Genomic DNA, 11399 nt, shown 5'->3' on the forward strand with positions numbered 1-11399 from the left:
TTTCACTGAGATGGGGCATAAGGATCATCAAAAGTAATCATTGAAGAATAAATTGTGGAGAATGGACCTGTACAAACCCAAGATGGTATCCATCAAGAGGTTTTAAAGTTTAGGGATGGGATAAAAGTTCACAACGCTGTTGCCTTCTTTAAATCTCCAAAAAGTCAAACTGGCTCAAGTATCCCTACTCTACTAGACTCAAAGGGGTTTCTCTATGAGGAAACAAAAATCCTCTCTTACTCCACATTATCCAGCAGCTCCTGGCCAGAGCTAAGCCTATTAATTTTGGGACTAAAAATAAATTTGCTTTGAGAACAAATCATTATAGTTTTTCTCCCTCTTCCAGTCTGAGAATGCAGACAAGGAAAGGAGAAGCTAAGCAGATTGTTTCTTAGCTGCCCCAAAACCTTGATTGACTGGGCAGCTAGCGGGGAGATGGGAGCCCTCCATCTGCCTGTTACTTTCTGACCCCATTTCCATGTAATGTAGGTGGTGCTTTATGTCAAAGAAGAAATGAAGAGGAATGATCTTCCAGAAACAGCAGTGATTGGTCTTCTGTGGACATGTATAATGAACGCTGTTGAGTGGAACAAGAAGGAAGAACTTGTTGCAGAGCAGGCTCTGAAGCACCTGAAGGTAACAGCCCTTAGCAAGGAACTGACCCAGCCAAGGGCAAACTGCAGCTTTTTTTGTTTGTTTGTTTGTTTGTTTGAGAGTGCAGTGGCACGATCTGCGCTCACTGCAACTTTGAACTCCTGGGCTCAAGCCACCCTCCCTCCTCAGCCTCCCAGGTAGCTAGGACTACAGGCGCGTGCCACCACGTCTGGCTAATTTCTTCATTTTTTGGTAGAGATGTAGTCTCGCTGTGTTGCCCAGGCTGGTCTTGAACTCCTGCATTCAAGCTATCCTCCTGCCTTGGCCTCCCAAAGTGTTGGATTGCAGGCATGAGCCACCACGCCGGGCCCAAATTTGTCTTAATTGAGAGTATGACAAATGGGTTCCAACTACAATTACCCTAGACTCAGACTAAACATATACTTCCTAATTTTTTTCCAAGTTTGCACCCAGCGTTCATGAGAACATAGCAGTGAGTAAACTGTCCATGTTACTTTGATCAGGGAAGGCCCTTTGGAAGAGATAAGTATTGAATTGAGTAAGTCTCAGAAAAACAATGGCTATGCCTCAGTGTCAGAAAGTCAAGGATATTTCTAAATGAATGCTTTTTATCCCAGCAGCTCATCAAGATTCCTTCCCTGTACCCACTAAGAGACCAAATATGAGAATCTGCCTATATTAAAGATAATTGCTGGCCTGCTATGTCTAAGGGATATTTCGAAAATGAGGTCATATCCTCATAGAATATCCATTGTATTATTGGACTGTGGCTCTGCCATTGAAAAAATGTGAATCTTCTTCCCAGTTCCCTCACAGGTCGACTATACTGCTTTGTTCCTACTGTTCTGTTCCCCTCACCCCATTGGGCACAATATGATGATAAAAGGTGTCAATCCTGAAAGTCAGTCTTTTCTAAGCAACCCTCCAGGTTACTGTTATAGTTCCAGCAGTGTCGGCTCTGTACCTCCCACGCAAGTGACGGCTTTTACTCTCCACTTCTGTTCTAGCAATATGCTCCCCTGCTGGCCGTGTTCAGCTCCCAAGGCCAGTCAGAGCTGATCCTCCTCCAGAAGGTTCAGGAATACTGCTACGACAACATCCATTTCATGAAAGCCTTTCAGAAGATTGTGGTTCTCTTTTATAAAGGTATCCATCCACGTGCCACTGCTGTGCTTCTGTGTTTTGCTGAAGCTCTTTGAGAGGCAGAGCAGGCAATGAGGCAGAGGAGGTCATGGGGCTCTGTTTAGAGAGGGACAGCAAGATGCTAATTTGTGAAAGTTTTATTGAGGCAACCATACCATGTAGAGAGAGGAGGCATACACGCCATATATGCGTTGCCTTGGAAACCCTGCTTAGGCCCCTGGGCACTTCTCATTGGTAGATGAACTGGTAATTGTTTCTTGGGGTTGGTGGAAAAAAAATGTAATTATATAAAATTGAGCCTGTTTTTGAATTGTAAGGATTAGCTCTAATAACAATGATTATCAAAATAGTATATATATTATGTTCAGACTCTTTTAGGTACCATAAATCTGACTTTAAAATTACTGAAGTAATTAGCCTTTTTACTTTGTATTTTAGTTACTTGGCCCAGCCATTCTCCTGTTTTCCAAGGGAATGGCTATTTTTAGGTTTTCACATTTACTGTCTTTTCATTGTATTTATAAGGATTAGGTTGCTATGACAACTGGCACTAAAATATGAATGCTAAAGGTTTTAACCGATCCCAATCTGTATACCTACAGCATACAGAAATGTCCTAGGCTATTTTTTGGGCCTACATTTATGTAGTTTTGTGAGGGAGAAAAAGGAACACTTAAGAAGTGGTACATTTTGAACATTATAACATGTTTATTTTATGTTATTATGTTCATAAATATCATATCAGAAAAGTTAAAATAATACCAGCCAAATGTTTATTTTCCCTTTCATGTGTTCCTAAATTTGTCTCTTTTGAATTATATCTTGGGAATTTGGAAAATAAAGGTTTTAGATAAATAATAGCTCTTTTAAAAATGCTTAATAGCATTTCACAATGAATTTTTATTGGCCACGTAGATTCCTCAAATGAATGAATCTTGTCCACAAGTGTTTGGGTGATATTTTACTTTTTCAGGGCACAGAGGTATTCAGCAACAATTATAATAGTCAGGAGGAAAATATGATGGCCACCCATTGCCACTTGAAGTTCAGTAATTGGTATTTTCTCCAACCAGACCTGAGTTGGGTCTTCTTGGATTTAGTCATAAGATAGCAGTGTCCTAAAACTAGGCCCCACCCAATGATACCCAAAGTGATCCACCCATCAGAACCAAACCTGCAAGCCATGTTACCAATTCATAGATGGTACCCAGCAGCCAAGAACGAGAAGTGGGGCCCAACCTTCTGTGGCCACAGCTGGCTCCATTTGTAAAACTGGCAGAGAGACCTATGGGACAGGTTTCACATTTGTTTTGAGGGTGGTCAATTTTTTCCACTACGGAAAACCAAACTGTTCGTAAACTAGTTAGTTACCTGAACATAGTTTGCTTTCTTGTCATATAAAAGATAACCCAACCAGTGTTTCTCACCAATTTTTTTTTTTAACTGAGACATCGTTGTCGGAGTCTCATCTTCAGGAGCACCCTATCGTATTATTGTAATGAAATCACAAAGAATCAGCAAACCCATTGTTACGGGAAATGACATCTAGGTGGCACATGAACTATTAAAATCCTTCAGATTTCTCATTTTAACCACTAATGCCAACCTCCTTTTCCTTTAGACTTAGACTTCTTATAACAACTACTGACAGGTAGTAAAACTGGCTACTTTGAGTTTTTTCTTCTTCATCAGCCCCAGATGCTAAGGGTCAGTATGACCTGAAATTAGAAAATAACTCAAGAAGTAAGCACTAGGAAGTAAAAAGAAGAGGCATGAGCTCTTAGGCTCATTGATTAACTAGGTAATCAGCGTTTAAATAACCTAAAGTTAGTGAGGTCTGTGGCAAGTATGACCTGGCCCCAGGGAACACAGGAAGGGTGAGTGTCAACATCAATTTTATTTCTGCCTTAGTTATTTTTGGAAATGAAATTGGGAAACTTTTTTAAAAATGTAAACCTAAAACACATCACTGAACTAACATTTTCAATACCATTTTCTAGGTAATTTTGTAATTTTCCACAGAATGATATATATAGTCTGTTTTCTTAAGTGAAATGATTCCATGTTTTCTCTGGAGAACATGCAATCCCTGAGGAATGATTGTTCCATACCACCGTTAAGAGCGTTACTGTGTTAACTATGTTTACCATCTTGTCTCTTTTTTGCCAGATTTTTACTTTCACCTTATTTTGTCCACCAAACACTTGTGCACCAGGAGACATGTATTTGATTTGTTTCTGTAAAGATTTGGATGCTCTCATTCCGTGTTTTATATGCCTAGAGGGAGACTTAGTAAACAGTGAGTGTTAAAGCACTCCTTTCCTAATATGCCTAAGAATTACCCAGAGAGCTTGTTATAAAACACAGCTCCCCCAGAGATTCTGATTCAGTAGGGCCAGGGTTGGGCCTGAGAATTTTCATTTTAACAAGTTTCCAAGCTGATGCTCTGACTGTTGTACCAGGACCACTGGTGTAAAGTGTATAGCATTCAAGAAGCAACAGATGCTATGAACTCCAGTGACATGTTCAAGATTATACTTACCTTTGATTTCATGTACATACCCACATTTTACACATATGGAGTAGTGTCTTCTCTGCTTCTTTTACCAAGTTTCTGTGGATTCCTTTTGTTTGTCATAAGGAACGTAGTGCTCTAAAACAAGTTTTTAAAATGTAATGGAAACCGTTGCTCCATTTTAATTTTCATTTTTATCTCTCTCTGACACACAGAGCACACACAAACATATACATGGACACACACACACCTCCCCTTTCCCAACATGTCCAGAACTTGATGATAGCAGAAACTTGGGCATATGATTAGCCATGTCCCCCTTGGCAAATCTAATTACTTAATTGAATATCATTATTGAAAGATTTATAAATCTTTTACATAAATAACAGTGGAATAAAAGCAAATAAACTAAATAATGCTAGTCAGCAAAGAAAAAAGTGGTGATGGGTCATTTTGCAAAGACTCTCTGTATTAAAATCTAGATTTGCATATTTTTAAGGTAGTAAGAAACAGTAAATCCATTGCTAACTTTCAAGCATCACATTATTGACTTTTAAAAATAATTTTCTCTTCTTTTTTCCCTGAAGATAAGTCCCATAGACTCAGCATGGTCTAAAATGTGTAAAACTACCTTGTCAAGTACTGTTATTATCTCTATCATGGGTTTTCTTGTTTGCAGAAATTTTTTAGGTTAAATTCTATCCTGCATGCAAATTTTTCTAAAAGGAGTTTTTTATTCTAGTTCTAAAAAAGGGTGAGTGCCCTTCTCAGCATATATTCCCAGCATTCTTAGGGTAAATTATTTTTGACTTGTGTCCCTATGTGACATTCCTAATAAAAAAATTTCTGAATTTCAAGAGTTTCAAGTGACATAGTTTCAGACTAAGTTTCTAAATAACTAACATGATCTAAAATTTAGCAGTTCTCAAGCCACTTTTACAGTATTGTCTCTTCGATCCTCATGAATACATTAGAACTCTACAAATTGAGAAATATTTATTTTTTCTCATCAAGTTAACAAATTTATTCCTTAAACGTGTGTTGAATCGATACTATAGGGCAGGTCTTTCATTAAATGCTGGAAATGAGATGAACAAAATATAGTCCCTGACTTCCTGAATTTCAGGATGTAGAAGAAAACAAAGAATTACACTCACCATGTCAATTGCTGAAATAAGCCTCACACAGAGGGTGTCAGAAGGGATAGGACCACAGAGGGAGGGCACCTAACTTGTTAAAGGTAATTTGGAGGGGGAGAAGTGAAGGCTCTCAAGGTACATGTATCTCACCAGACATTATGAAGAAGTTGGCCAGATAGAAGGGGAAAACATATATTCCAGTCTCTATGTGCCATCATACAATGTCTTCCTTTCTTACTGTCTTTTACTGTTATTCTATATTCCTAATAGGCATTTATGAAATATCCCACCAAAAATGGTTTCTCAGTTTTAATTAACTCTTTTCCCTACTTTATCCTTAGTGAGGGAAAAAATTGTCTGAATTCTTTGTCCCTCAAGGAGTTCCTTCCTTTTCAGACCTTTCCTTTCACTAAATAGAAGTTTAATTTCTTCTTAAACTCTTCGATGTTCATACTTTGCCTCATATGGTGCTCTGTGTAGATACTTCAGTAGCTTTTAATTAATAATTCTCTGGTACTAGAAGTTTGATCTTTCAGCAAGTAGTTGTTACTACCCTGGGTTCTTCTAAGAACTCCACATTGCGCCGTTAATATGTAGACTTATTTTAAATTCTCCTTCCTATTCTTAACATTAAATATTCTCAATTAATGGTAACTTAAGAATATCAAGGCACAAGATTTGCAATAAACAATGCATTTGATAGGTTTTACCTATCATTTAGTGTGCTTTTCACAAGCACTGACATTGACAAGCATTTTAGTAGTTGCATGGTCTCCTTCAGCCTCTGTGAGGCAATAAAACACAGGAATGTGCTCTCAACCTTCAAAAGGAAAGCTCAGACAAATAGTATCACTAAACTGCAGTCTACATCAGCTTTCCAACCTGTACTTTGTATCATCCTCAATTCATTAAGGTGTGGAGAAAAAAAACAATTCTCCTTTCCATGTTTGTCACAGTTTAAAATTATATTGTTTGTGCAGAACATTAATAATGATAGTTTAATAGTGCATGAATATAATTTATAAACTCAAAAATATACATATGTTGGGTGTATATGCTCAAAATTATCCTACAGGCAGGAAGACATGATCCAAACAGTTTGATAATTACTGATCTAATCATAAGCATCTTAAAGATAATTTACAAGTTATATAAAAGGGTCTTTTAAAATCCCTGTTAATGTTCTTTAAAAGTCTCTGCAAGGCAGTCTTACACAATAACAGGTCACTTCCTCGGGACACAACTGCCTGCTCCTCAGCTCTATGACAATTAGGCTCTGATGGCTGGTAGAAATTTCTTTTATCTCAGTGGAGAGCTGGAAACAAAGAGCTAAAATAACTAGAAGCTAAGAATAAGTCTACAGGACCCCTGATTGTAGCTCTTACATCCAGGCTCTATAAGTAAATCCAGACTTCTTGCTTCCTTTGCAAAATGTAATGTTTTTAGTGATGATAATAAACATGTTTTTTTAAAAAACCTTTTATTTTCATAAACAAATCATGTTCATTTTAGTCAGCTCAGCCTCTTCAATTTAATTCAAGAACATTTTCCAAGAGCCAATAATTCTTTAAAAATAAAAAAAGCCAATGTTTTTGTTATGAAACTACCAGTGATGTTTTAAATGAAAACAATATTAAATTGTTTCTGTCATTTTCATAAGTTGAAATTATATTTTAACTGAAAAGATATCATTAAAGTAATTTATTAACATTATATGGCTTTATCAGTATTTGTAATGAATTGAGCACATCTCGGGGACAATAATAAATGCTTTGTACCTGTTTTCTGTCTCGTTTCCCACTACAGATTCCCAAACAACAACCCATTAGAACATTGGAACATTAGAAGAATGTTAGAACAACCCATTAGAACATTGGGAGACTATGTACACTTATTTTTATATTCTCCTTCCTATTCTTAACATTAAATACTCTCAATTAATGTTATGTTGAGAATATCAAGGCACATTTGTGGAATTTAGAGTTTTAGACAAAAGATAGTTAACATTTTTTGTTGTTTTTAGAAACCTGTAGGAAATTAGCTAATATGTCTATTTTGTCTTAATGTAGTAGAGGAAAAATATTACTCTTGTAATTTGGGATATACTGTGGGAAAATAAGTCGTGATTTAGTGATGGAGAAAGTGTAGAACTTCAGTTTAGGTGTGTATTACTCCCACAACATAGCCCAGAAGTTCCTCTTTATATCTAATTGCTAACATCATTATTGCATACTATCTACATTTTTTTCCTTTGTCATTTTTCTCCTAAAAAAAGAAAATCCCAATCTCCTTAAAAGACACTGGTCATTTGAGGTTACTCTTTAATCAAGATATGGTTGAACTTGGCAGGACCCAAAATGTTCTAAAATGCTGGAATTGCTGGTTCATTTGCAAAATTACAAAACAATTCTATTTCCTACCAGCAAATTAGCACTGTGAGAGATTTCCAAGTCCTAGTAGTGAGCTATAGGCTTGCATTATATCATGCCTAAGAAGATGTATATCATCATCATCAGTACTTAAGCCTTTAGTAAGCTATCAAAATATGGCACTATGCTACATGAAAATCAACTTGGTTCCTCTCTTCTGATAAGTAACAGAATGCTTTATATTTAAAATGATTGCTTTCTATTAAACTGTAATACATGAAGTTGTTTTGAAACATGACATTTGTATAGTAACTTTGAAATCTTTGATTTAAAATTGCAGCTGATGTTCTGAGCGAAGAAGCAATACTGAAATGGTATAAGGAAGCACATGTTGCTAAAGGCAAAAGTGTTTTTCTTGACCAGATGAAGAAATTTGTTGAGTGGTTACAAAATGCAGAAGAAGGTATGATTCTGTTTACAAACATTGATGACCTTTAAACACTGTCTCATTATATGTCAAAATATTTACCTCTTCCACAGATTTTACTTGATTTTCTAAAACTAAAATTCTAGAGTTATCTTTCGTATCAAACATTTTGCCAACATCTTAGCTTTCCTTTCTGAAATCACGGCAATAAAAATCTCTACATGTAAAAACAAAGAAAGAAATGAAATGCTTAAATTATCCACTCTGATGGAGGACAATAAGGAAGAAATGATTAGTAGATGTGAAAGGAGAAAAATACATTTAGCTTAATCACGCATTATGGAATTCTATAGATTTTTATGACACCTTTACCAATTAACTGGCAATTTTAAATAATGGAAATATAAAGTGGAAGGATAATAATGAGTAAGAGTGAATTCAGGCCAGGTGTGGTGGCTCACACCTGTAATCCCAGCACTTTGGGAAGCAGAGGTGGGTGGATCACCTGAGGTCAGGAGTTTGAGAGCAGGCTGGCCAACATAGTGAAACCCTGTCTCTATTAAAAACACAAAAAAATTAGCCAGGTATGGTGGCTCACGCCTGTAGTCCCAGGTACTCGGGAGGGTGAGGCAGGAGAACCACTTGAACCAGGAGGCAGAGGTTGCAGTGAGCCAAGATTGCGCCACTGCACGCCAGCCTGGATGACAGAGCAAGACTCCATCTCGATAAATAAATAAATAAAGTGAATTCAATTAAGAATAAAAAGTTCAGGCCAGGCACGGTGGCTCACGCCTGTAATCCCAGCACTTTGGGAGGCCAAGGCGGGCAGATCATGAGGTCGGGAGATCGAGACCATCTTGCCTAACACAGTGAAACCGTGTCTCTACTAAAAATATAAAAAATTAGCCGGGCATGGTGGTGGGCACCTGTAGTCACAGCTACTCGGGAGGCTGAGGCAGGAGAATGGCATGAACACAGGAGGCGGAGGTTGCAGTGAGCCAAGATCACAGCACTGCACTCCAGGCTGGGCAACAGAGTGAGACTCCATCTCAAAAAAAAAAAAAAAAAAGAATAAAAAGTTTATCTTAGGTGATCCAAAGAAGAAAAGTTATATTGTTTAATTTTATATATATTCAAATTTTTATATAATTTATATGTATAAATTTAATATATATAAAATGTATTCATTTATAGGTATTTGTATATGTATGCATGTTGCATTTTTAGACAGGCAAAATTTACGTGAAAGCAGAAAAGAGCAAGAGTTTGCTATCTGCCCTCATGTGACTATTTTACCTTATAATGGGTGCCTAGGGTAAAAGTATGCTGGTGCAATGGCAGGGTTCTGGGTTGGTGACTGTAGTAACTTTTGACCTTAATTAGAGGAATCTGGGAGGAAATATCTCACTTCTTTCTTCTCTCCTAGAATCCGAATCGGAAGGTGAGGAAAATTAAATGGCTCAACAAGCACAATACCTAGGTTACCACACACCACTTTTTGATTGGGAATGCTGAACCATTTGAGAAGAGAAACTTGGCTTCTGTTTTCGCAAAGGAAAAAAAAAATAGGATAGGCTTCCCTTGTGCAGAGGGAGAAATGGTTTTGTTTTTGTTTTGTTTTTAAATGGAGCCCTGAGGCATCAGCTATTATACTTGGGACTCTACCTCTCACTCACTATATGCTAACTTAAAGCCATTCAACAAGGAGTCAAGTAGATCTGAAATTAAATACTCAACAGACTCCTCCTTTTTTAGCTGTATTTTTCAGGTACTGTGTGGTGACCGCCCCACTGGTGTCTATTACAGGCCACTTTGGTAGTTGTGTATCTGCTCATGTATGTGATTTGACAAACCAGTTTTTTAAAATAAATGGCTTTTTAAAAATCTGGGCTTATATTGTCAGAGCTTTTATTTCTTTCCTGTACGTGACTTCTTACACAGATAGTATTTTGGTGTTTTTTCTCTTTCCATCCACAATACTGAATGGTTATATTTCTTGTCATCTATTAAAAACTATTCTGCTCACACCTGTAATCCCAGCACTTTGGGAGGCCAACGCGGGAAGATCATGAGGCCAGGAGATCGAGACCATCCTGGCTAACACAGTGAAACCCCATCTCTACTAAAAATACAAAAAATTAGCCGGGTGTGGTGGTGGGCACCTGTAGTCTCAGCTACTCGGGAGGCTGAGGCAGGAGAATGGCGTGAACCCGGGAGGCGGAGCTTGCAGTGAGCCAAGATTGTGCTACTGCACCCCAGCCTGGGCGACAGAGCGAGACTCCGTCTCAAATAAAAAAAAAACAGAAAACTGTTCTGTTTCTCTCATCTCATGAGTAATACATTTCAGTTATCCTCATGGCAAAGGAGAAGTTAACCCCCAAATACACGCACATTGGTCTTATTAATAATACCATGGTTATATTATTAATAATTAAGCATATAAATATATGATTCACATGGCTCGTTTTCCTCAGCACTATTTTCTCCCTAGTTAGAGGAGAGCTAAAGATTTATGTATATAGGTTTAGGTCTTTGTTTATATTTATTTATGGCTAAGTTATTTTATCCTTTAAGTTATTCTTCTCTCAGTAGTATTCATAACAGTACGAAACATCTGAACATTTAGGAAAACTTTATACAGAAGTCTTTTTTTTTTTTTTTTTTTTTTAACTTTTGGAAAGCTTAAGGTACTGCCCTGGTGCTAGGGTGATGGTAATCTCTAAGAAGGAAACATTTTATCTAAGACTTGAAACAAAAGGATGGTACATTAGTAACCCATGTACTCATTAAGATAAGTAAAAGGAAAATTGTCATTGTTGTATCATCATCCTGTATCTAAAGAGGGTTTTCTGATTTCCTGTTTGTCTTCAGAAAAGAAAAAATATTTTCCATATGACTCGACCACTATTTATGTTCATAAAATGATAGATCATTTTCTCTTTTTTTGAGAGGGGCTCGTGCCCTCTGTGGTCCAGGCTGAAGTGCAGTGGCATGATCACAGCTCATGGCAGCCTCAACCTCCCAGCCAGGCTCAAGCAATCCTTCTACTTCAGCCTGTCAAGTAGCTGGGACTACAGGCACATGCCACCACAGCCAGCTAATTTTTAAATTTTTTGTAGTAATGGGGTTTCACCATGTTGCCCAGGCTGGTCTTGAACTCCTGAGCTCAAGCACCCTGCCCACCTCAGCCT

The 11399-nt window shown here is 37.4% G+C and overlaps 1 protein-coding gene across 7 annotated transcripts in view; it reads left to right on the top strand.

Annotated features, from left to right (window-relative positions):
• The window catches only part of BZW2 (basic leucine zipper and W2 domains 2), a 60337-nt gene extending 50245 nt beyond the window's left edge, over positions 1 to 10092 (top strand). For all 7 annotated transcript variants that reach the window (NM_001159767.2, NM_001362718.2, NM_014038.3 and 4 more), the window contains 4 exons: positions 490 to 636; positions 1623 to 1761; positions 8122 to 8244; positions 9635 to 10092. In NM_001159767.2, the coding sequence (NP_001153239.1) occupies positions 490 to 636; positions 1623 to 1761; positions 8122 to 8244; positions 9635 to 9663 (438 nt within the window). In that variant the 3' untranslated portion in view covers positions 9664 to 10092. The remainder of the gene's footprint in view (positions 1 to 489; positions 637 to 1622; positions 1762 to 8121; positions 8245 to 9634) is intronic.
• Positions 10093 to 11399: the final 1307 nt, after the last annotated feature.

This window comes from Homo sapiens, chromosome 7 (assembly GCF_000001405.40).
Source record: "Homo sapiens chromosome 7, GRCh38.p14 Primary Assembly".
Lineage (NCBI taxonomy): Eukaryota > Metazoa > Chordata > Mammalia > Primates > Hominidae > Homo > Homo sapiens.